Genomic DNA, 26,527 nt, shown 5'->3' on the forward strand with positions numbered 1-26,527 from the left:
GTTTCCAATTCACTTAGGTAAAACCTAGTAGTACGACTGATGGATCTAAAGGTAAGTCTATGTTTTACTACATAAGAAAGGGCCAAAAGGCCTTCTAGAGTGAATGAAACATTTTTCTTGTCTACCAGCTATGAATGAGAATCCCACATCCTCTCCAGAATTTGATATTCTCAGGTATTTGAATTCTATCCATTGTAATAGGTGGGTAGAGGAATCTTAGTGCTGTTGACATTTGCATTATTAATGAATAATTATGGTGATCATCTTTTCATGTGTGTATCTTCATTGGTGAATGTATGTGTATTTCTGCGTGTCTTCATTGGTGAATGTCTTCAAATCATTTACATCTTTAGTTGGATTCTTTGTTTTCAAAGGTTGAATGTTAAATGTTTGGTATTTATTCAGCATATGAGTTCTTTATCAGATATCAGATTACTAATATTTTCTCTCCATCTATATAGTTTTTTCCATTCTTCTAACAGTATTTTTTTTTTTTTTTTTTTTTTTTGGAGATGGAGTCTCACTCTGTCTCCCAGCCTGGAGTGCAGTGGCGTGATCTCGACTCACTGCAACCTCTGCCCCCTGAGTTCAAGCGATTCTCCTGCCTCAGCCTCCCAAGTAGCTGGGATTACAGGTGCCTGCCAACGTGCCCGGCTATTTTTTGTATTTTTAGTAGAGACAGGATTTCACCATCTTGGCCAGGCTGGTCTTGAACTCCTGACCTCGTGATCCACCTGCCTCAGTCTCCCAAAGTGCTGGGATGACAGGCGTCAGCCATCGTGCCCAGCTGAGATTCACAGGAAAACCACGATCGGAGGGGTGTAAGTTTGTAGGAAAGAGGTTTTTAAGTGGCAGCATCTTTGCATGATTCAAACTCTGGAGGCATATGCATAAAGTCCAAGAAACACATGAGAAAACTGTACTTCTTGGAAACTAAGGAGCTCACAAATGATGAAATGTGATTCACACCGATTTGTAAATGAGCACCCATTTGTAAGTGAGCAGGCCGAGACAGGGAGATCCACCTGCAGACCATGGCTGGACTCTGGATTAATCCATTCCCATGTCTGCATTCTCTTATGGCCTCTTCCCACGTCTCCCAGGACTCTGCCACCTACTGTCAAATTAAAAATCACAGGCAGGGATACCTCTGGGTTCTGGTGTGTGGGTGTTGGGGCTCTCTGCACGCCCTGATTTCAGAGCTCTTTTGATGTCTGTGCCCAGTTGTGTCTACGGTAAGAACTTGAATCTATTTCCTCTGATCAGTCAAAGAAGTTCGTCGATGATAGCATGTGTTCTAAGATGAACACCCCAAGTGAGCAGAAAAGGCTGCTTCCTAAGTTAAAACATGACATGACATCTTTTAAATTAATTTTTGACTCCAAAAGAAAGGAGAAGGAAGGAAGGGAGGGAAAGAGAGAGAGAGAGAGACACGGAAGGAAGGAAGGAAGGAAGGAAGGAAGGAAGGAAGGAAGCAAGCAAGCACAGAGAGAGAGAGAGATGGAAGGAAGGAAGGAAAGAAGGAAGCAAAGAGAGAGAGAGAGAAAAAAGGAGAGGAAAGGAAAGTAGGAAGGAAGGGAAACAAGAAAGAAAAAGTGGGGGCATAGTGGGGGAATCAAGGAAGGAAGTAAAAAACCCCACCAGATCCAGTACAGACATAAAAGCCAAACATAAATCCTGTCCACCAGACACTAATGAGCACCCTCTAAACTGCAAACCCGTAGGACTCCTTGGTAGTATGTGTCACCTCCACAACTATCAAGGGCACTTTTTAACCCAATGACAAAGCCAGACGTGATCTCATCTGTATGTAAAGTGAAGATCCTGTTATATAAAGGCACCGCCATGACAAGGAATGGCCAGTAACACAGAGTCATTGTGAACCCTAGGCCGGCAATGCTAGCAGCACAATTAGCACTCAGCGAGCAACTCCAGGTAATTTTTTTTTTTTTTTTTTTTTTTTTAGACGGAGTCCTGCTCTGTCGCCCAGGCTGGAGTGCAGTGGCGCGATCTCGGCTTGCTGCACGCTCCGCCTCCCGGGTTCATGCCATTCTCCTGCCTCAGCCTCCCGAGTAGCTGGGACTACAGGTGCCCGCCGCCACGCCCGGCTAATTTTTTGTATTTTTAGTACAGACGGGGTTTCACCGTGTTAGTCAGGACAGTCTCGATCTCCCGAGCTCGTGATCCACCCGCCTCGGCCTCCCAAAGTGCTGGGATTACAGGCATGAGCCACTGCGCCCGGCCAGCTCCAGGTAATTTTTAATGAGTAGAGGCGGGATGTCTGAGGGGCTTCCTAAAACCCAGCACCTGCTCGAGTATCTCCTGGGCACTTTTCCAGGGAGGCGTGTTAGGCTGAAGTCTCTATCATGCAAGCCAAAGATGTCGGAGGGGGGTACTGGACTGCAAAGAAAGAAAAAGGATGGAGACCATGAAGACTTTTTTGTGCAGTCAGAAAATTACTCATTTTCTGACACATTTATTGACCAGCACATATTCTGCCCAAATGCTGCCCTCTATGTGCTCTGGTCTGCGTAGTCTGGGTACGCCTGGGGCCCATCGCTAGCTGGCATGTACTGTGACGTGCGGTGGCTGTGGGGGCAATGGTGGTGCAGAGCTGGGAGATGGGGGAACATGACCATGGAGGCAGCAGGCTGTGCAGCCCCAGCAGCCACTAGGGTCACCGGTACCCAGAGATGGCAAAAGGGCAGCATGCCAGGTGCAGGAAGTCCTGTGGTGTCCATGGCAAGGGTACTACGGGACGCTGTGGGAAGGGCCACCACAGGCCCGTAAGAATTCATCTGAGTGGGAGATCCAGGGACATAGAGGAAGGGCAGCGCTGCAGGCCCAGGGACAGCGGCCACCGGAGTGACGTGAGCCTGGCTGCCCTCTGACCACTCGCCGGCCGGCTGGGTCACTGGACTGTTGTCACTCGCCACGGCGGAATCAGGCACCATCACAGGAGTTGCTGGTGGAGCAGAGCCACTCCTGATTTGGGTGTTGGGACCGGCCGGTTCCCGGTGTTGCGGTGTGACCTGGTCATTCTCATTCGGAGACGTGTGATCTTGTTGCTCAGTGTCTGCTGGTGCCAGACAGGATCCAGCAGCTTCTGGCTTGTCCTCCTCCTGATGTCTTGGTGCAGACTTGACACCCACTCTTCTCTTCATCCTCACGAGGAGGTGAGGGGAGTCTCTTTGAAAGTAAGGATGGCAGTAGAACTCTAACTATAAGTCAAAGTTTAAATAAACAAAAGGAAACTGCAAGTCACAAGGATGGACTACAACTACCAACCATCTACGCCCCTGTGCAAGAGAACTCTACTGGCCCAGGAGGCCTTTCTGGAAAAGGTCCCAGTCCCCAAAGGAAGCTGGGGACTCGCGTTCACATCGTCAAGGTTTACCAAGTTGTGGCGGGCCTTTCCGTCTTGGAAAAAGCCTCAAAATGGCAGATTAGGGTGTCCATGGCCGGCGGAAAGGGTCTTTGAAGTTGCAGACCAGGAGGGAAGAAGATTCTGGGCCTCCCCCATGCAGTGTCAGCTGGCAACAGAATGCACCCCGGCTGGGTTGGAGGCCCTGGGTACTGGCTCTTCCACACCAGGGGCCCACCTACCAAGGGCAGCAGGAGCATCTGCACCTCCTGCGCCAGGCGCCCTTCAGTGCTTCCACTTGAGCACCTCTCCAGACACCAGCTAGGGTGACAGTGGTACAAATACCAGACTCCCCTGGCCTGCTCACCTCACAGGGTAATGTGCTGTGGAGTCAGGGGGACACAGCAACCGCCAGATGACATGGCTGGCCCCGGGGAGGACGACACGCAGATACGGCTACTTGGCACCTGTGATATTTTACACACTCGAGAGGGGCCCGCACCATCCTCAGCCCTCTCCCCACATTCACTCTTAGTTCATGTCACCTCCACCCAGAGGGGGACACAGGCCCACAGCGATGGCCCCACACCCTGCCTGAGGTCGCCCACTTCCCAGGAGGCAGTCCTGGGACTTCCACCCGACCAGGCCCCAGAGCCCACCGACTTAACCCCTCCAGAGGCTTGTCGTTCATTACCTTATTCAAGATGGAGACCAGCCTTTTTGCGGAGAAAATGCGGGTGAAGGTCCTGAAAGTGCATTGACGCCGTTTTCGGAAGCCATACAAGTTTAGCTGGCGGAAGAAGCTCTTTATCGAAGTTGTGGCAAACACTTTGTGTGCGACGTCCCTTTTGAGAATCTCCTTTTCAAAGAGTTTTTGATTGATCACTCTACAAGCCCCACTGTCATCCCACCAGATGGACGAAAACTGGTTGCTGCTGACCAGTCTCCACAGTTTCTGTGGAAAGGGGAGGGAGAGGAGATTATCTTCTCCCTGGGGCGGGACGTCACCGTCAGGGTGCGGCCTTCTGAACGAAGCTTCCTCGGCCAGAGGTTGGAAAGCGATTTCTTCTGTCAGCAGCCTCAAGTTAGGGCTCCCAGTGGACCCCGGGTCGTCCCAGGCAGGGGAAGGATCTGCTGGGTGAAGGTAGGTCTCTGACTGCAACTGGGGAGGGAAAGGCACCCTTTCCAAGCCATGATCCTGTCCCCTCGAATTTCTTTCTTCACAGCGAGCCATACTCAATGATCGCTTGTCCTCCATCTGGCAAACTTGCTAGTGCAGTGTGGCCAGCAGCACCCCTTGGCAGTCATGTAACCAGCCCCATGACATCATAAAGGGGCTCTGACTGCCGGGGGGTGGCATCTCCACCCCCAGCAAGTTGTGTAATAAAGGGCCAAGGCAGACAAGTAGCTGCCCATCTGCATGTGCACATTCTGGTCCTCACAGTCATTTCAATGGGAAAGATGACACTAGTGCACAAGAGTGCCGAGGGGCCCTGCCACACCGTAGATGCAGACCTGGAGCGGTCCCCTTGTCCTAGAGCTCCTGAGCCAGGCACAACTACAGCAAAGCCCTGGCTCAGGAAGGTCAGAGCTCACCGTCTGAGTCATGGGCCCACAGACCCCAGCACATGACTGACACTCGGAAGCACAGAACAAAGGGTAGGACGGTGCCCATGGGTCAGGCTGTAGCCACGCCACCCTTTCCACCCTGTCCTAGCCAGAGGCAGCAATGTGCTCCATACAGATCCTCCTAACACACCCACACTGTCGGTCCCCAGCACGCAGATGCCCGACAGCCCCTTAGGCAAATGGCTTAGCTGACTGCCCCACCACACGCCGTCGCCATGCAGTCCAGTGGGGAGTCGGAGGCAGCCTCCTTCCTGCCTCTCCTCGGCCTGCACGTGTCCCCCCACCAGGCAGAGACCCTTCTACACCCCGGGTGTCTGCGGTCACATCGCGGTGGGGCATGCAGCTGTTGGCCTTCGAGCATGTTTTGTTTTCCTTGGCCAGTGTCTCCAGAGAAACGCACGTGGGTTTGTGTCCAGCGGTCCATCTCTGCAACAGTTGTTCCTTTGGGATTGGATGCTAGGAGGTCACGGGAGAGGTGTCCATCCAAAGCAGTGTCTGTGTCACACACTGTCCCCACACACAGGGCCACCTCTGCACAGACTCCCCCGACTCGATTCTGGGCACAGAGCTCAGTGACCTTCCAGAGACTGCCACGAACCGGTGATGCCTCCACGCTTGAGACATCCTGACCGCAGGGCCCAAGGCGCACTGGCTCAGGGGGTGACAGTGAGGGGTCTGCAAACAGACTGCTGATGCTCAACCCGGCCGCTGCCGAGCTGTGTGACTTGGGCACGTCACTTAACCTCTCTCGGCCTCTGTCTCCTCCCGGGGATAAGAGTAGTAGCACCTGCTTCCCGGGGCTGTGAGGATCCAGTGGGACGTATAGGAACTAGCGAGGCACCGGCAGTTGGGTCAGAGCTACTGTTGTCACTTCACAAGGCATTTTCTTCAACAGCAAGTCGGAAATCTCATGAGCCTAAGGCAGAATCCACCTGTGGCCTCTGGTTACAACCCACAGGACTGAAAATCCTTCCAGCCACAGCAACTGGTGAATTTCCTGGTCAATTGCCACAAGTCATGAGCTGAACCCCACTTGAGTTTCAGTTCAGGCAGAACTCTAGAGACGACTAGGGCAAGCTAGACAGCGACTGCAGAGCCTTTTGTTGCAGCGTGAGCAGTCCTCAGCTGTTGACATCACTGGGGAGCAAACGAGGACCAGGAGCGGTGAAAGGACAGTGTCTGCTGCAGATTGTCGTAGCACCCAAGGAACACTCCAGAAAGCCTCCTAAGCAGTAACAAGTGTGGCAAGGTGTAGCCCAGCCAACAGTGGCATCTGCGAGGCGTCCCCTCCTTCCTCCCACTACCCCGTATACCCTGGGACCTGTGCACTGAAGGACTCATTCTAAAGGCTGTGCCCCTGCAGCCGCCAGCCTCACTCACTGGCTGCCTGTGCCAGCTAGAGATTTCTTTCCTCTGAGGCTGGCTGAGAGGACCACTCCAGTTTCCTGGCCCATCCAGCAAAGAAGATACACATCATGCACGTGTAAAATGAGGAACCGGTTTATTGAACAGCTTAAGGAGAGCAAAAATAGTGGCTTTAGCTACATTTTTTACACACTGAGCAGGAAAGTCTAAACCATCCCGTTCCCCTGTACCCCAAAGAGAACAGGGCTTGCTGGAGGCCAGTGCCAAGGGCGGAGTCGTGCTCGCAGCAGACTTGAATTAACCCCATGTAGGCCGGCGAGCAGTTGCCCGCGTGAAAACACCACCCTCTTCTCCTGGCTGAGAAGATCAAAGCTCTTTTTTTACCCTCTTTTCAGCAAAGGACCTATTTGTTTTCAGGCAGGAGGATGTTAAACTTGCAGCCTCTGACACACGGTGGAACCTGCAGTGCTTGGAGAAACGGCACGCACACGTGAAAACATCATGCCTACTCCAAAGCCTTCTTGTTGCTGGCAGGAGGGAAGCTTGAGACTTTCCCACGCATAGTCGTGACCCGCGTGGCCGTTTCTGCTCTCAGCAACATTCTCTAGTGTTCCGGCTTCAAGCAGCGCTTGTCAGGTTTGAAGCTAGCCACTATTCTGAGAACGTCAGAAAAGCATGGACCATCTCTTGCTTGGTGTTGCCGTTGTGGCAGTAGCAGCTACTACGTACCTGCACGAGTTCCAGGGCAGAAGTGGCAATGTCCCATGAAGGCGTGGCACCCCACGGGGGGGGGGGGAGTGTGCCACGGGCGTCCACTTCTGCAGCAGAAGGCATGTGCCTACAGCACAAGCTTGTAAAAAAATACTTGAACAGAATATGCTGTACAGAACTAGGGGTTAACACCGCATATGAAGATGCTAAAACATTTGTATAAATACTCTGTATACAAGCATGGAGTCACTCCCGTAGAAAGGGCTCATCCGTGAGGCTATGAAAAACTGCTGTCAGCATGCCCAAAGAGAAACTACTTCCACAGTAGGAACAGAAAAAAGGACTGTGCTGTGTCTAAACACGTGGTGCATCAGAGACATAGTTACAGTTCCTACTGACTGCCCCAGCCACGACCTGGGAGTGCTGAGGACCTGGGAGTGCTCAGCGAGCTGCAGGAGGTCAGCCCTGTGGAGAAATACATTTCTAAACAATACTTTTGATTGGGATTTCAGCACCGTATAGACAGATGTTCCTTCTGGGGGCCTGGCAAGCAGCCATCTCCCAGTGGGTCTGACGGGGAAGAGGGGTACCTGGAGCCCCTCCCAGACAGACGGTAATCCCACCCCTGTTCTCACACTCTTCCTGGCATCCGCATCTGCTGGCACACACCCCCGTCACCTGCCACTTCCGCGTCCCGTCGTGGTGAGTGGCTGATAGGCGCTGGATGCAAACAAGGCATGAGATGGACGTACCTGGAGACCCAGCTCCAGTACTGGTTCTGGTCTGCGGGGTGAACGAGGGGGCAGAGGAAGGCGGAGAGAGTGCGTCCCAGTCCACTTAAGCTCTGTCCCCGGAAGTGGCATCTAATCTGGCATTTCGATATTTAATTTGGGAGGTGGGAGCACATACTTCCCAGGGCTCTGGGTAATGACCACCCTGGCCTTCTTTCGAAACATGGGTGCGATTTTAGGGGGCTCCGGAACTGGGGTCTCTTCGGTTTCTTCATTATCTTCGTGATGGAGATCATAGGAAATGTTTCCATATTCTCGTAGAAATGGGAAGATTTCAAGCAGAAACTGACAGAAATCTTTGCGGATACCAAACCACCCTGAAAAATAAGAATTTTTTATTTCACACACGAGGCTCAACTGACCTTCCTGTTAACTTTCTTTCCGTAACAAGAAGTTTCACTCCTACAATGTCATAACATACTTTATCCAGACTCCTGAGTCACAAAGCCTGAACAGGGCTTGAGTACCCAAAATGGGGAAGAAGTGCAAATGCTAGCTCTGTGGTGCTTGGAGTGGGGTTCCCGGACCGGCAGGGACAGCGTCCACGGGGCCTAGTTAGGGATGCCATTCTCGGGCCCCAGCCCAGACCTCCAGAAACTGAGTCGGGCTAGGGTGGGCTCCAGCGGTCCCCTTTTCCTGGCCCTTTTGGGATTCTGCTGGATGCCCAAGTTTGAGAACTACTGCTCCAGTGAGTCTCAAAATATCTGTGGTGCGCAGACTACGGTGTCTTCCGCTAATCTTCTCCAGCCAGGATAAACTCATGGATGACAGTGCCACCCAAGAACAAGATTTCTGTCACCCTCTGGAATCCGTGAGGGCGGTAGTCATGCACGGGTTGGCCAGGAGGGGGCCTGAACTCATGGAGCCACCTTAAAGCCACTTTCCCAGTCCCACTACTCCTCTCTGTAGGCTACTGGAGTGTCAGCTCGGTGCAAGCCCTCCCTGCTCCCGGGTGCGGGGTAGGGGGCAGAGGCACAAACAGCAAGCACAGCCCGGGCTGCTGGGCTGCAGTGAGGCCCTGCCCCCAAACCCACTGGCTTTCCGAAGGGCAATGCTCTGGGCTTCCGTGCCATGGAGCCCACAGCCTTGCCAGGAAGGCACCCTCTGCAGAGATCGTTTTGGAAGTGTCTGCCTCAGCAAGCAGGTGGAGGGGAATAGAGTGTTAGCAAGGCAAGACAGGCAAGACTCGGGTGATGGCAGCAAGGATATGGGGGAGGCAGAGCGGCCAACAGGGACCTAGGATGAATCCCAGGTTTGGGTGGGAGATGTGGATTTTCCATCAAACCCTCCCGGGCCTGGGAAGAATCTGTCTTGATCCCCATTTTGCAGAGGAGGGAACGGGATCTCTGAGAGGTTGCCTGCCGTGTCTGGTTCTACCTCAAATGGCAGCGTGCACTGCGAGAAAAGTCCCGGTGCAGGCCAGCAGAACACCAGAGTTACGGCATGCCCTTCCCTTAGAAGGTCCCAGAATTTCCTCAGCCCTCACTTTCCCACACAAGCTTCTAAATTGGGGCCCTCGGGGACTCATCCCTTCCTAGACTTCTATCCGCCACCCCCCACCCCCTGGTCCCCCCCCAGACACACACCAAGGACTTCTGAAATGCTGAGTACATACAGTGGTTTCCTCCCTTCTGTCCAAATGTGGTTGCCATCAGCGTGATCAACGAGAGCCAAAGGGGGACAAAGATCGGGATGCAGGAGAAGGCGTTGTGGCCATCCAGTTTGTGAACCAGCAGAATCTAAAGAAAGAGACATAGTCCCGGTTGATGCCAGCACCGAAAATGGGCAGAGGCGGAAGCCAGACTTCATTAGGCAGTTCCTCCCCACCACCCCACCCCCGCGTGAGCTCCCACAAGAGGGAACATCAGCACCGCCAGAAAAAGGCAGGAAACCACCTATCCCTGGGGAAAGCTCGAAATGAGCTTTTATGTCCCTCTTCAGAGCTCGGCAATAGCCTATCCACTTGAAAAGTTCCCAGTGCCAGCAGTTTTATGGCAAACTCCTCCGGGTGTTTGTTCTAAGGAGTCAACAGCTCCCATTCTAGAATTCTCCACGTGACTCCAATACACAAATCTGACATCCCACTCTGCTTTCCCCAGAGTGGAAACTGGAGCCATACAGAGGCACCATGGCTAAAAAGGTGCACTCTTCTCCCTGCCAGCCCCACGTGCTGCCCCCAAGAGAAAGGAAGGATGCTCTCCTTTCACCGAAGCTCCCTCTCGGAGATGGCTGTGTTCTCTCCCCTCTCCTGGAGTGGGCTCACTGTGAGCTCGAGGGACAGAGGCTGCCTTTCTAGGGGTGCAGAATCCTGTCAGGGGAAGCGCAAGCTTCAGGGGCTGAAGAGGCTTCCCGTGGAACGCTTACCTCAAATGTAAGAAGGGGCACGACGATGGTCATCCAGCTCAGGGCCATGGTTATGTGTGTCCTGCGCTGCTCCGCAATCACATCCATAGAGCGCAAGAACAAGACGGACCACACAATGTAGTAGAGGACCACCAGGCACAGAAAGGACATGAGAATCCACAGCGGGACACACACAACCTGGGGGTGGGTGAGAGAACAGCAAGAGAAGTCTCTTTAGAGCTTCCAACCTGGCCTCTGATGGAAGGCATCTTTAGCACCTTGCTGTGTCTGTCCAGTTAAGGCGGTCCTTCCTGTGAGCCGAATAAGGACCGTTCCATCTCCCAGGACTGCTGGGAGCATCGCTCAGGACAGAAAAGGTATGGTATGTTCACTATGGGGCCTGCTGCCACCAGGGGACACACACGCTCAGTGAGTCATCAGTCCCTCTTCCTTTGGGTGACAGACAGCCCTGCACCTGGCTCCGCAGCCTCTACTCTTCCAGAGGCCCACTCTCCCACACTCTCTCAGGCTCCTCTAGGTTCTGCTGCCATCACAGCTTCCCGGGAAATGGGACACAACTGTCACCCTGTGCACACACACAAGATCTCACCCCAACAGACTCTCTTCACAGGCAACATTCCCACAACCTGCTGGGGGTACTTTGGCAACACAAATGGGAATGGGCTCCCCAGAAAGTCTGGCTGCCTGGGCTCCTAAGGATCCCTAACCTCACCCCTACCAAGTTAGTGAACTTGGCGGGTTGATGCTGGATACAGGTTGATGCTGGATACGTAGCGCTGCCGGGTCCCCGCCTCCACGGCAAGGGCGCATTCCCAGTATGTCCCTGTCGTACCAGGTAGACCTTGTCTCATCCACACACAAGCCCAGAGGACGAGTTCCGGGGGCGCCACTTGGCCAGGCTCCCCTGTGACACGTCTTCGCCCTCCTGCCCTGCCTCCTGGGACGACACTCCTCCGTTCTCCCTTTTTATTAATTATCTATCATACAGTAGGAAAAGTGACCGTCTTCCTTTGGTGTGAGTTCCCTGAGTCTTCACACAAGTAGATTCACACAGCCGTTGGCAGGATGCAGAAGAGGTCTGTCACCCTGCAAAACTCTCCGTGCTGTCCCTTCACTATCACACCGTCCCCACCATTAGCCCCGGCAAACACTGATCTGTTCTCTCACTGTACTTTTGTCTCTGCTGGAACTTTATGTAGATGGCATCGCGAGACAAGTAACCTGTTGAGACTGGCTTCCCGCCATCCACATAATGTCTCTAATGAGATTCATCCAAGTTGTTCCCTCCCTGTATCCACAGGTCGTTCCCTCTCAGATCTGAGTGGTATTCCATTGTATGGATGCCTACAGTTTATCTGACTGTCCGCTGAGGGTGGTTTGTGAAAACCAAACAAGGCCGCTATCCAAAATGCAAACAAGACTGCTACAAACACTGGTGTGTGGGTTTCTACAAGGCTGCGCGCTTTCACTTCTCTGGGGGTAAATCTTATACCCAGGAGTGGGGCAGCCAAGTCCCACGGGAAGTGCGCTTTTAACTGCATCAGAGATGGCCAAACCATTTTCTACAGTGCCCGTACCACCTGCCTTCCCGCCAGTAACACTGGAGTGTCCCAGTTCCTCTGCATCCTCCCAGGCACGTGGCCTCGTCAGTGTTGCTGAGTTTCACCATTCTGAAGCCATGTGTTTCGGGCCCTCATCCTGGTTGTAGTTTGTCTTCCCTAACCTGTAATGGCGTTGAGCATCTTTTCCTGTGCTTTTTCGCCATGTGTATATCCCCTTCGCAAATTGTCAACTCTTTTGCCAATTTTTAGGTGTTTCTTTTTGCAGTTTTGAGTTTTTAAGAGTTCTCTGTATGTTCTGGGTGCAAGTCAGTGTTTTGATGTGTGCTTTGCAAATATTTTCTCCCAGTCTGTGGCCTGTCTTCATTTCATTTTAATTTTGAGGAAGTCCAAATTTATGATTTCTCTCTCGTATGGACCATATTAACAGTGCCATTTCTAAGTACTCTCTGCCTAATTGCAAACCCCAAAGATTCTGTCCTATGTTATTTCCTAACAGATCTATAGTTTTACATTTTCTTTTAGATCTATGATTTGAGTTGGCATACGAATTTTACTTCTCCTGACCAGTTCTTGATTGTAGGTTTCTCTGCAGAGTCTATGCACAGCCTTTCTTCCCCGTTCCCCATTCTGTGATGAGATTCTCCTTTTTACTGAAGTTCCCTTCATGGGTGGAATGTTAGATCTCAATAGGCTTCCTTGTTTTCTCTTGCTCACTATGGGAAACATGTACTCAGACTGCTTCATCAACTGGGATCTACAGAGGATGAAGGGCAGAAAAAATCTTTCTTCTCATTTGTGGAAAGCTCTCAAAATTACTAATCTTTTTTTTCCCTGACAGTATCTTATACGAAAAAATTTGGTCTTGTTTAGATATGTTTCCTTCACGTCACAACAGAAACAGTTTTGAACCCAATGACCATTCTCCAGATACAGCACTGTGAAGTTGTAGGATGAGTGACTGAATATTTTTTATTATGAATGTTTTATCAAAGACTTTGGGCAGAAGTGATTATTCCCATCTTTAAATATGGAGTATACTTAGGTTCCCTTCATTTCTTCTCTGCTCCCAATTCTTTACTATACTTTTCACTTTTTAAGGGTAGCTATATTTAATACATAAAATATATTGTATGCAAAATTATACATCAAACAACAGAGAAAATAAAACCGAACAAAAACACTAGCATGACCTTACCTCCCAGTGGCAATGGAACTCTTCTGCCTTTAGTCTCCATCTTTTTTCCATGCATTTAATAGTGGAATCTATACTGTGTTCTCTAATTTCTACCTTGCCACTTATCTTTCTATCTCTGCATCCATCTACCCATTTATTCACAGTTAATTTCAACCAAATGCCCAGTAACTGAAGTCACAGTTTAGAAGCATGACATAGATGCCACCACCAGCAAGAGTGTAAATGGGTATGGCTTTTTTTTTTTTTCTTTTGAGACAGGGTCTTGCTACATTGCACAGGTTGGTCTCGAACTCCTGAGCTCAAGTGATCAGCTCACCTCGGCCTCCCAAAGTGCTGGGACTGTAAGTGTAAGCCACTGCGCCTGGCCAGGTATGGCTTTTGGAAAAGCAAGTTGGCAGTGCAGTATACGTATATAGGAATCTCAAATAGTTCCCAACCTCTAGCTCAGTAACACTATTTCTGGACTATTTCCTAAGAAAACAACCAAAAAACAAAAGGCAAAAATTTTAATGCATAAACATATATACTGCAGTATGATTTAAAATCATTCAACACTGGCAACAATGGAAATACCATATTTTAGAAATAAGAGGATGGTCTGATACATGCACTTGAAGAATATTTTGTATCAATTAAACTTTAGAAGTCATGTTTATAAAGACCTTTTATTAACATGATAAAATGTTTATGATACAACATTAAAACAAAAAAATCAGGATACAAAATGGTGCACACAGTTATATCCAAACTGTTTGTATAAAACACAGACATAAAAACACTAACCATGTTATCTCCCCATGGTGGGATTATGGGTGACTATTAGGCTATTACTTCTGCTTGTCCGTCTTTTCCAAGCTTTGTACAGTGAATATGAATTACTTTTATAATAAAAAAGAACTTTATTTAAGGATTTTAAAAGTTACATACAAGCCAGGGCCAGTGGATGATCTTGTCCAGTCTTAAGGCAATGAATATAAACTGGAGAATGTTGACAGAACACAGGATTTCTAACTAAAAATGAAGAGAAGAATCAGTTAAACAAAGTATAATTTGCATTTAATACTGCAGTAATTTGGTTAACACACTAAAAGACAATACACATTATAATACAGTGTAACTTGTATAATATTATATTGCACTGGAAACTCCTGATTTTCGGTACCAGAGGGGCACAGCAGTATTATGGCAAGGGGAAATGGGGCTCAGCCTGCTGCCTTGCCCCTCTGCTGCCTTGCCCTTTCTGGCCTGAGGCCTGAGCACAGATGAGAACCTTGTTTCCAGGTTCACTGGGAACACAGGCTAGCTGCAATAGACCACTAAACTTCCTTCATGTCCCTACCAACAATACTGTCTACTCGAAACCATCCTTGTGCATCCTTCTTCTCATACCTCGGTTTTGCCCTTGGACCCCACCCCTTCCTTTCAGGCTCCTTGAGGACCTTGTCACATCAAGCCATCAACTGTAGATTCCGTACTGTATCTTTAACCCCACCTATTCCATTGATCCCTCCTAGCAGCACAGAAATGACTCCTTCTCATTAAAAACAAAAGCCCCGAAACCAGATAAACCCACCCCATCCTTTGATCCAAGACCCCTCTTAGCCTCAGGTTTCTCTCTGCGAGACAGTAATGAATATGCAAGCCCCTACTATCTCATCTACCATTCCCAGCTTCCTTGTGATCTGGCCTCCACCCCCATGACCACCAGAAGACAGCTTTCATCAAAGTCACCGATAACCGGGAGGCAGCAAAAACACTTCAACTGGCATCCTACTGATACTGTGGATGACTCTTTCCTTTTTGCTCCCCTCCTCCTGGCCATCTAGATCCCACCATACAGTCTTGGAGCCCTCTGGAGTGTTCTGGTAATTCCTTCTGTCTCCTTTTCCCCCTCCTTAAATGGTGATGCTCCGCAGAGCCACAAACTCAGTCTTCTCTCCCGACTAGGAAGACAGACACACAAACACACATATTTTCACTCACCCGCTGCACCCTGGACTGGGGGAGAAGAAATTTCAACCAGACCCTTGGTCTGCATTATTACCTCCTTCATGGTTAGTTCTCACATCTGTCTCCAACTTAGCCTTCCTGCTGCATAGCAGACCCAGCTGTGCATAGGCCACTCGGCTCTCCTAAAGGCACCTCAAATGAAGCCAGTCCCAAATAGAGATCATTATCGCCTGCACTTAGAACCTTGTATCTCCTCTTTCTATAGCCTCCCATGTCACTTTCTATGGCCTCCCATGTCACTATGGCCTCCCATGTCACTTTCTATGGCCTCCCATGTCACTTTCTATGGCCTCCCATGTCACTTTCTATAGCCTCCCATGTCACTTTCTATAGCCTCCCATGTCACTTTCTATGGCCTCCCATGTCACTATGGCCTCCCATGTCACTTTCTATGGCCTCCCTTGTCACTTTCTATGGCCTCCCATGTCACTTTCTATGGCCTCCCATGTCACTTTCTATGGCCTCCCATGTCACTTTCTATAGCCTCCCATGTCACTTTCTATAGCCTCCCATGTCACTTGGAGGCACAACAGTGGTCTCATTTCTCAAGCCATGAGCCCGGGAATCACCCTGCATTCTTTTTCCCACACTGTCACGTTCAGTCACCACATCCTGTCCACTGTAAAGTCCAGATTTCTCCTGAATCCCGTGCCCACTTCCTATCCTGATGATGACTGCCTAGTGAGGCCTTCTTCGGCACCATCCGCCTACCACTTCAGCAACCCCTTACTAACCTCCCGCCTCCAGCCCAAACGCCCTGCAGGCTGCTCCTCACTCTGGTAAAGTACATTCTTGCCCACAAAATTGAAATCTGGGACCAGGCCCAGAGCTTCCCAAAAGTTCTCAGTACATAGGTACATGGGGAATTTAGTAATTCCTCCATAGACCTCTAGGCCAAAAGAAATCCCTAATGTGGCTGGGAATGCCAACAGTTGCACTGATTTAAGTAATTACATCTAACTTAGTAAGTATTTCTAAGTAGCCACTAGAAAAAATAATTCATATAAATCTAAAGAAAAATGTTAATATTATTCTTAAATAACCAAAACTAATTCCCAGTGGGATGCGTGTGCCTGTCAGGTAGCTCACCATTTCCCACGCCTTGGAATCAGACAAGGTGCTCCCACTCGTTACCTGTTCTTCACCCGGATTTTCACACAGCATTAGCCTTTTTTGTTTTCACAGCAACTGCTGAAAACCCAGCTTCTTAAAGATACGACGTCACTGAAAGGAATGCAGTGTGGCCTAAAAATAAACCTGTAAACTATTTCAAGCTAGTAGTTTGTATGGTGTCCCAACAAATGTCAGGTATTACTGTTTTCCTCAAAATGTCCACTATCCCCTGGTGCCCTGTGAGTGCACTGGGGTGCCTGGGGCACTTCAGCACATGCTCTGTGGGCTGAGGACGTGGCCCCTATTTGCCCCAATCCCTCTGTAGAGGCTCCCTCTCTTCTCAACTCCCACAGTTCCTTCCTTTCCACCTTGTGCTCCCGTCGGATCTGAATCGCCACAGTCCACTCAGCTGATGGAGTGTTTCCTGCCTCTAGGCTTCAATGTGTCCCAAAAATGCCATCCCTTCCCTCCCAACACAGGGCTTCCTGGCAGACCCTCAACTCCTCCTTCCCATCTCTGTATGAGCCTACTCCAGACCACCCCCTCACCAACATAGGTACTGTTCTTGCATCACAGGAGGAGGGAGCTCAGCTCCTGGTATGTTGTTTCTTCCAAGGGCAGGAATGCCTAGAGTGTGAATATATGAAAGACTTACTTTCTGTAATTCAGGCCCAATGCAGTCCTAGTCCTTGTATAGTTGTCCCTCAGTATCTGTGGGGGATTGGTTCCAGGACCCCCTGTGGATACCAAAATCCATGGATGCTCAAGTCCCTGATATAAACTGGGAATTGTAGGGAGGGTGAAAGTGGACCATCAGATACTCTCCCTCCACGGCTCACTCCTACCTACCACTATACCCATGCTGTGGCCTTTCCACCAGCATGAAAATCAGGGAATAGCTCCCCTTGTTCAAGGCCAAACCCTTCCTGGTGCTCTAGGTCCCATTCTCCCTGAGTCCCACAGGGCCTTGCTCCATCACCGTCCCTCTGTCTACATACCTTCCCCTCACGCCCATACCTGGGGTCTAGGCTTATATGCCTGACCCACCCTACAGCTGCTATGTTTACTTCCTAAGCCAACTGCAGTCTTCTCCCTTCACTCTTCATCCACACGGCTCAAAACCAGGCATCTACAGCCTCTAGTTCTCCCCTCAACCCATCAGTATTCAGCTTTGGGCCCTCAGCTTCTATGCAGTTATGTAGTTATGTGCCCGGGCTTTAGAGTCGGGCTGACTCAAACGGAATCCTGGTCCTGCCCCTTCACATGTGGCCATGAACAAATGACTTATCTTCTCTGGACCTACCTCACAGAGTTAGTTAGTAAGAAAACTACCACATGTAATGTGCCTCGCACAATGCCTGGCACACAGTAAGTGCTCAATAAACGTTATCTGCAATTACTTTCATTACTATTATTACTAGTCCTGGTATTTTATTCATCTGCATATCCTCTATGCTTAGGGAAAAAGGGCTTGGCATCTAGTAAATACTTGATAAATGTTTATTGAATGAATAAACAAACACAGGGGCACATCAGGATAAGCTAACCAGACAGCAGGGGAGGTGCTAAATCATGGGGTCTGAGGTGGGGAGATGGTCAGTTTTGAGTGTCAACTTGGCTGGGCTATAGTACCCAGTTATTTAATCAAACACTAAGCTTGCTGTTGCAGTGAAGGTACTGACTTTGAATAAAGGAGACTACCCTCCATAGCATGGGTGGGCCTCATGCAATCAGGTGAAGGCCTTAAAAGCAAAAACTGTGGTTTCCTGGAGAGGAAAAAATTCTGTGCCAGGACTGCAGTGTCAACTCCTCCTAGGTCTCCAGCCTGTTCACCTGCCCTGGAGATTTCAGACTTGCCAGCCCCACAGTAATGTGAGCCAGTTCCTTAACTCTCTTTATACATATATCTGTATCTAACCTATCAGTTCTGTTTCTGTCTGATTGATACAGGATGTGAAGCTGGGAGAAGGCTGATGTCCTGGGTGAAAAGCTAGTGTTCTAAGTGAAGAAAGAAAAATTGTTATTTCCATCATCTTTTGTTGCCTTGTTGTCTCATGATGTAGAGTTGGTAATGATCAAGCTCTTCCTAACAAAGGGTAAGAAATTGACATCTGAATAACTGAGCAAAATATTTTACTTTTGAAAACATTCTTTTTTTTTTTTTTTAAGACGGAGTTTCATTCTGTCACCCAGGCTGGAGTGCAATGGTTCAATCTTGGCTCACTGCAACCTCCGCCTCCTGGGTTCAAGAGATTCTCCCGCCTCAGCCTCCGGAGAAGCTGGGATTACTGGCGCATGCCACCACACCCGGCTAATTTTTGTATTATTAGTAGAGATGGGGTTTCACCATGTTGGCCAGGCTGGTCTCAAACTCCTGACCTCAAGTGATCCACCTGCCTTGACCTCCCAAAGTGGAAAACATTCTTAAATATATGAAATCTCACCTCTAGTGACCTGTCATGTCGAAAGCCCCAAACGCAAGCTGCAACAGACACCGGGGAAACAAAGAACAGCGGCATGAAGACCAGGAGCCAGAAATGGCTTCCTCTCTCGATTCTGTCACAGACCAGAACTTCAAACATCAACAAGAGCAAGTGGATGCCCACTGCAATCAACATGGCTTTAAACTCCACACACGTTTCTCCTTCTGCTCTAAAAAAGGGAGAGAAGAAGAAAACACCCTCAGTTCAGAATCTCCACTATAAGCAAGCAGTTCAGGGCAAATACCAACTTATATTTATACTTTGAATTTTACTTGAAAATTTGACAAAAGCAAAGGGAAATCAGGTAGAAAGCTAACTTAAACCTAAGCTTTGGTAGGCAATCTCTGAAACATCGAAGAACTACTACATAATACAAAATGAACATTACAACCAAACCAGAATTTAATGTTTTAACCGTATAAGGATATTCTCAAAAGTAATAGCCAGTTCTTATTTCCCTGACAATGTACATAAACACTTCTGTTCACATCTTTAAATTCAACAACAAGAGTTACTTCCAAGATTATTCAAGCTGATTTGCTTCTGCTGCTAAAACCAGGCAAATACCCCTTAAGTCTCATGATCCTCATTTTTCAAGAAACCATGTAAACCACCCTTCACACAATATTATAAAAATAACTCTAGTTCTATGAACAAGTGCCAGTTATATTTCAAGATAGTAGTAACTATTGTTAGGTGCTATTTTTAAATGCAAATAAAACGTATAAATGATTTTCATTTTCCTTTCTATTCCATTAAGATAAATTAACACCTGCACATGAAAGAGAAAGAAGAACAAGAGTTAAAACTGTTCTCAAACAAAATCAGTTTAATTAGCTAAGTATCATGCACAATAACCTTAACAGATCTACAATTGAGCAATGGTAAGGCCGCTAATCAGGAAAAGGCTCTATAATGCATCTGAAAGGCCTACAATGTTTATTCAAAATACAGATGAACATTTATGATATACATGTATTGTGGGTGACAAATACACCGGAAGTTAGATCATAGAGAAAATGCTATCAGAGGTTATTCCTGTAGGACCCAACCATGTTCCACTGGTTAATGTTAACATGAGAATGACCACGCCTGTACATTCCTTACATTCAACCCCACATACACAATTCCTTTCCTTGCTCAAAACATCTTAAATAAGACCAACAAAGAGAAGTTTGAATATATTCTAAATATCAATTAGTAGAACCTAAATGTTTATTTAACTTTGCATTCTTTGAGAAGCAATTAATATTAGATATCTGAAAATATCTCATAAAAAAATAAAACACATACAGCCACACAGGTCATCAATCTTTCAAAAAAAATCTAAGAACTCTGAAACAGCTATACATGAATGTCCCTCACCTGCCAAGGCTCTCTGTGTAACTGTTTTACAGTTCTTAGACATGTATGTGATATGTAATTTACACAATCTGAATCATTTTCATATTTAGTAAACAAAAATTTAAAAAGTTGATGTAGTGGCCGGACGTGGTGGCTCACACCTGTAATCCCAGCACTTCAGGAGGCCAAGGCGGGTGGATCACCTGATGTCAGGAGTTCAAAACTAGCCTGGCATGGTGAAACCCTATCTCTACTAAAAATACAAAAAATTAGCTGGGCATGGTGGCAGGTGCCTGTAATCCCAGCTACTCAGGAGGCCGAGGCAGGAGAATCACTTGAACCCGGGATGTGGAGGCTGCAGTGGGCCGAGATCACACCATTGCACTCCAGCCTGGGCAACAAGAGCGAAACTCTGTCTCAAAAAAAAAAAAAAAAAAAAAAAAAAAAAAGGTGCGGTAGTTTCAACTTTACACTTTTCCCACATGAGCAGCTGCCTTCTGGGAATTCCTGTACTCCTCATTTTCCCAGTGGAGGTTCATAATAGCCTCCCAGTCTTAAGTCCCCCTTTTTCCCTTTATGTAGTTACAGTCTCTGTGGCAGAGAAGGGAAAGACTCTCGCAGGTCCCAGCAACAAGCAGGTTGCATGCTGGCGTGAGCCAACTCCCAGGAATTTGGGCCAGCGGAGGCATCCAAGAGCAGGGAGGGCAAGAGTTGGAAACGGTAAAGGGTACCCCTCTCCCCTGCCCCCAAAGGCTCTGCTTTCCTTCTCGGCATCCAATCTTTGACTTTCCTCATTCCCCAGCTGCTGTCTCAGGGACTCATGGTCTCCTGGTCAAGCCACCTCCCCTACACTGCTAATAGTCCTAAAGCTCTGGGACTAGGAGGGTGGGACAAGGGGAGCCCCAGTTCCAAAACTGTATTGGAGAAAGATCTTTCATGACCAAACATAATATGAGTGTCTTTTCCTAAAAACAGGGTGGTTTCATGCTGCTTAGTCTAGTATGGCATACCAGTTCTGTATTTTGGGTGCATTTTGGATTATATAGGCATCTGTGAGCTGGCTGGCAACTTACCCCCAAATGGCACTGCTTTTGTAAGAAAATACATACCAAAGACTAAATTTTCAAAAACACAGAAGAGATCTGTTAGCTTATACTATAGTTCTAAGACCCCAGATAGGTAGAAAATAAAATGGTCCTTACTTCATCAAAAGTGAGAAAAGTCAAGATATTGCTCCCTCATGCTAGAGACCAATGGGTTGTATAAAGCAGTATTACCGATATTGAGGATTTCGTGCCCAGACTCCAGTTCCAACTGAGGCTCCAACAATGACCATTAACTTCCACAGCCATATTGGAGCAAAGACAGCCCAGTAACTCCACTGTATGATGCCATCCAAACGAAGGGCCAGCAGCACAGAGAACAGCAGCAGACAGGCATAGATGAGGAATTTACTAGGAGAAAAGTAAAACGATTAAGAAGGATTCACTTTTACAAATATGTGATACTGAAATGGGGAGTAATAAGAGCCACATTTGTCAGCATGTAAAAGGAGTCACTAACTCAATAATCATTTATTGAAAAGGTCTATGGGGCAGACATAATGTGTTGGGAATAAAAGAAACATAAAGAAGACTAAAATAAGTCTCCTGCTTTCCAAGGCTTCCTCATAGAAGGAAGACCACACAGAAACATATAATACAGCACAATGTTTGTGATGAGAGCTTGGAAGAGGAAATACAGACTGTGTCTGAGGAGGCACTCAGAAGCAGAGATGTGGTGACCCTAGAGCTGGTTCCAGAGGGCAAGTAGGAAGCTGCCAGGCAGGAAAGCAAGTGAGATGAGGAAGTATTCCAGGCAGAAGGAACTAGCTATACCAAGACACAGAGACTGGAAAAGGCTGACATGCTCTGAAAATGGTCAAGTTCTATCACTAACTGATTCTATTTCTAAAAAGGCAGCCATCTGTCATATTCATATGGCATGAACATTTTAGTGTATGTATTATACTTTCCATGAATGAATAAATTACACATACACACATGCTCACGTCTCATATAAAAGGGAATTGCTACAGAGGATGTCCTTGAAATAATTAGAAATTATACTCTTGAGGACCTCTATTTCCAGCCTTGACTTAATAATAGGAATATAATTTACCTTCCCGCCTAAATAAGAAGCTTGATACAGTCTACAAAAGAACAGTTTTCAGACATTGACAACAGGCAGTGGAGAACAGGTGAGAAGGAGGAAATAAAGGAGGTAAACCCTACTATTGCCCCAGTTTGCAGATCAGAGGCAGTTTCCAGGCTGCAGCAAGAAAACAGTTAAAACTCAACCCTGTCAATAACTATATTAAATATAAATGGCCAACTGAAAGACAAAGATGATCAGATTGGATAAGTAAGCAAGACAACTATATGCTGTCTGTAAGAATCCCACTTTATCTATCTATAAAGACACAGATAGATTAAAAGCAAAAGGAAAGAAAAAGTTATACCAAATAAACACTAACCAAAAGAAAGCTGGAATGACTATATTAATATCTGTTTAGTCTTCCATTGCTGCTGTAACAAATTACCACAAACTTAGCAGCTTAAAACAACGTAAATTTATTATCTCACAGTTCTATATGACAAAAGGCGAGACGGGCTTGGTTGGTTTCTCTACTCAGAATCTCACAAGGCTGAAATAAAGATGTCTGTTGGTGGAATGCTTATCAGGGGACTCTGGCAGAATCTACTTCTAAGCTCATTCAGGTTGTTGGCAGAATCCAGTTTCTTGTGGTTGTAGGACTGAGGTATGTGTCTCTTTGCTTGCTGTCACGCAGCAGCTGATCTTGCGATAGTAGGGGCCTCTCCTGGGTCCTTGTAAATAGGCCCCTACATCTCAAAGCCAGTAACAAGCTATAGCATATTCAATCTTTCTCATGCTTGGGATGTTTTCTCACTACTTCTGCCATATCGCTTCTGCTTCCACTGAGAGAAAGTTCTCCGCTTTTAAGAGTTCATGTGATGAAACTGAGTCCACCTGGTTAAGCCAGGCTACTCTCCCTATTTTAAGGTCCATAACTGTGGTTGGTAGGCAGAATTCTAAAGAAGTTTCCCAGGATTCCTGTCCCCTGATTATTCAATCAAACACTAATCTGAGTAATACTGTGAAGGGACTTTGCAGATGGAATTAAGGTTACTAATCAGCTAACTTTACAATAGGAAGATTATACTGGATTATCCAGGTGTGCCCAGTGTAATCACATAAGCCCTTAAGAAAGCAGAAGAGTAAGTCAGAGAAATGTGGTGGAAGAGAGATGAGGCAGAAGTCAGAGAGATTCCAGACTTGAGAAGGATTCAGCCTGTTACTTCTGGCTTTGAACATGGAGGTAAGGAACCATGAGCCAAGGAATGCAGGCAGGCTTCAGAAGCTGAGAATAACTCGCAGCTGACAGCCAGCAAGGTAAATGGGACCTCAGCCCTACAACCCCAAGGAACTAAATTCTGACAATAGCCCAAATGTGCTTGAAAGCAGATTAATCCCTGGAGGCTCCAGAAAGGAATAGAGCCCTCCTGACACTTTGATTTTGACCCTGTGAAACTAGGCAGAAGACCCATCTGAGTTGTGCTGTACCCGGACTTCTGACCTAAAGAACTGAGAGTAATTTGTCATGGTAACAGCAGAAACGAATGCTAATAAATATAGCTTCAAAGTCCCCTTTGCCATGTAAAATAATAACATATTCACAGGTTTCAGGGCTTAGGGCCTGGGTATCTGTGTATTTGTGGGGGTGGGGCATTCTGCCTACCACAACATAAGACACAGTATATTTTTGAACAAGGACTATTTCCAGGGACAAATAGAGGTAGTTCATAATGATAAAGGGGTCAATTTGTCATATGCCTAATAACAAAGTTTCACAATACATGTAGAAAGTACTGATCAATCTAAAAGGAGAAATAAAAAAATCAAACTGTTATAAATGGAAATTAACATTCCTTTCTTAGTAACTAATAGAACACATAAACAGAAAATTACTAAGGATATATATGATTGTAGCAACACTATCAACCAACTTGACCTAATTAATATTAATGAGTTCCTCCCAACAAAAGCAAAATACAGATTCCTTTCAAACACACACGGAACATTCACCAAGATAGATTGAATTCTGGGCCATAAAACAAAGCTCAACAAATTTAAAAGGACTGAAATCATACAAAGTAAACAAGCACAATGGAGTCAAACTAGAAATCAACAATAGAAAAATATCTGGAAAATTCTCAAAATACTTGAAAATTAAATGCCACACTGCGAAATAATCCATAGGTCAAAGACTATGAAGAAAATTGAAAAATATTTTGGACTAAAGGCAAAAACACAATATACCAAAATTTGTGAGATACACTAAAGCAGTACTTAAGGGAAATTTTAGCATCAAATACTTACATTAGAAAAGATATCAAGTCAATAATCTAAGATTCTATCTTATGAAACTAGAAAGAACATGGAGGTAAGGAACCTCCATGTAAGAAACGGAAGGAAATTTGTAAAAAGTAAATGGAAAGAAGAAAATGATAAATGTAAGCACATTAATCAATAAAATACAGTAAAAAGGGATTAGAGAAAAAAATCAATGAAACTAAAAGCAGTTTCTTTGAGAAAGTAAGAAAATTGGTAAATCTACAGCCAGAATAATCAGTAAAAAAGAGTAGGCTCAAATTACTAATATCAAGAATGAAAACAGGGATATCACTACAAATCCTAATAATACTAAAGGGATAAGTAGGGGATATTATAAACAACTTTATGCCAGGAAATTTCTTGAAACAAAGACATGGAAACTGCAATTCTAGTTAAAACCTTTTTCAGAAAGAAAATGTCAGGCCATGGCAAAATCTACCAAACATTTAATGAGGAAATACCACCAATTCTTCACAAACTCTTGCAAAAAAGATGAGGGGGGAACATTTCCCAATTTATTTTATGAAGCCAGCATTACCCTGATAACAAAACTGACAAAGAAAGAAAACTACAGACCAATATCTCTCATGAACAGAGATGCAAAAATCCTGAAAAGATTTTAGCCAACTGAATTCAGCAATATATAAGGATACTACATTACGACTAGGTGTGGTTTAGCTAGGATTGCAAGATTGCAATCTTGGATTAACATTTGAAAATCAGTTAGCAACCTTCGTGGTATTAGCAGGCTGAAAAAGAAAAATCATATGATCATCTCAATAGTTGTGTAAAAAGCATTTGACGTAATTTGCTACCCATTCAAGTTAAAAGCGTTAAACAAATTAGGAAAAGAAGAGCATCTATGAAAAACCTGCAGTTATAATGCTTAATGGTGAGAGACTCAATACTTTCCCCTTAAGACAGGAAACACAGCAAGTATGTCCACTTCAACACATCTATTCAACATTGTACTAAAGGTCCTAGCCACAACAATAAGATGATAAAAAGAAATTAAAAGAATATAGTTTTAAAAGAAAGAAGTAAACCTGTCATTATCTATAGGCAACATGATATTCCGTGTAGGAAATCCTAAGTAATCTAAAAAAAAGCTAGTAGATCTAGTAAGTGAATTTAACAAAATTGAAGGACACAAGGTAAATTTACAAAAATTATTGCATTTCTATATAGTAGCTATCACAAATTGGAAACAGAAATTTAAAAATATGTATCATTTACTGCAACTTTCCTATAAATTTATAACTATTCAAAAATTAAAAGTTTATGAAAAAATCCACCATTTACAATAGCATCACAAATATAAAACACTTAGGGATAAATGTAACAACATATATGCAAAACCTATATACTGAAACCTACAAAACACTGGTAGGACTGTGGGGAAGCTAATAAACAACAGAAATTTATTCCTCACAGTTCCAGAGGCTGGAAGTTGGAGATCAGGATGCCAGCATGGCTGGGTTCTGGCGAGGGCTGCCTTCTGGGTGGCAGATGGCAGACTTCTCAATACCCTTCACATGGTGAAAAGAGAGTGAGTTAGCTCTCTGGTCTCTTTTTATAAGGGCACTAGTTCCAACCATGAGGGTTCCACCCTCATAACCTAATCACCTCCCAAATGCCCCACCTCCAAATACCATCACACTGGGGACTAGAGTCAACTTGTGATTTTTAAAGGGACACATTCAGTTCATAACTGCCAAGAAAAATTAAAGATCTAAATAAATGGAGACATATACTGTGTTCATAGAACACTCAATACTGTTAAGATTTACATCCTCTGTGTATTAGTTTCCTATGGGTGCTGTAACAAACTACCACAAAATTGGTGACTTAAAATGGCACACATTTATTATCCTGAGGCCAGAGGTCCAAAAAGGGTTTCACTGGGCTAAAACCAAGATGTCAGCAGGACCTACTCCTTCTGGAGACTCTATGGGAGAATCTATTACTTGTTTTTTTCCAGTTTCCAGAGCTGTATTCCCTTGGCTCATGGCCCCTTTCTCTATCATCAAAACCAGCTGCATAAAATCTTCAAATCTCTGTCTCTGTTTCCACCACACTGCCTTCTCCTCTTAATATTATCTCCCTCTTTTAAGGGAACCTGTGATTGATTGCATTTATTG

At 46.3% G+C, this 26,527-nt stretch overlaps 2 protein-coding genes across 5 annotated transcripts in view; both read right to left on the reverse strand.

The window, feature by feature from the left end:
* Positions 1–2,433: 2,433 nt before the first annotated feature.
* HSFX2 (heat shock transcription factor family, X-linked 2) lies at positions 2,434–5,236 on the reverse strand. The gene is made up of 2 exons (NM_001164415.3): positions 4,059–5,236; positions 2,434–3,221 (listed from the first exon to the last, which is right to left on the reverse strand). The coding sequence occupies exons 1-2, from the start codon at positions 4,620–4,622 to the stop codon at positions 2,514–2,516; spliced, it is 1,272 nt and encodes a 423-aa protein (NP_001157887.1). The 5' UTR covers positions 4,623–5,236; the 3' UTR covers positions 2,434–2,513.
* The window catches only part of TMEM185A (transmembrane protein 185A), a 35,237-nt gene continuing 15,187 nt past the window's right edge, over positions 6,478–26,527 (reverse strand). The window contains exons 2-7 of one of the 4 annotated variants that reach the window (NM_032508.4): positions 21,209–21,385; positions 18,549–18,756; positions 13,909–13,992; positions 10,225–10,401; positions 9,476–9,599; positions 6,478–8,177 (exon numbers count right to left, since the gene is read on the reverse strand). In NM_032508.4, coding sequence (NP_115897.1) covers positions 7,933–8,177; positions 9,476–9,599; positions 10,225–10,401; positions 13,909–13,992; positions 18,549–18,756; positions 21,209–21,385 — 1,015 coding nt within the window. In that variant the 3' untranslated portion in view covers positions 6,478–7,932. Of the gene's footprint in view, positions 8,178–9,475; positions 9,600–10,224; positions 10,402–13,627; positions 13,993–18,548; positions 18,757–21,208; positions 21,386–26,527 lie in introns of those variants that run through there. The other 3 variants (NM_001174092.3, NR_104121.2, NM_001282302.2) reach the window with 3 other exon arrangements.

The sequence above is a fragment of the Homo sapiens genome, chromosome X (assembly GCF_000001405.40).
Source record: "Homo sapiens chromosome X, GRCh38.p14 Primary Assembly".
NCBI classification, from domain to species: Eukaryota; Metazoa; Chordata; class Mammalia; order Primates; family Hominidae; genus Homo; species Homo sapiens.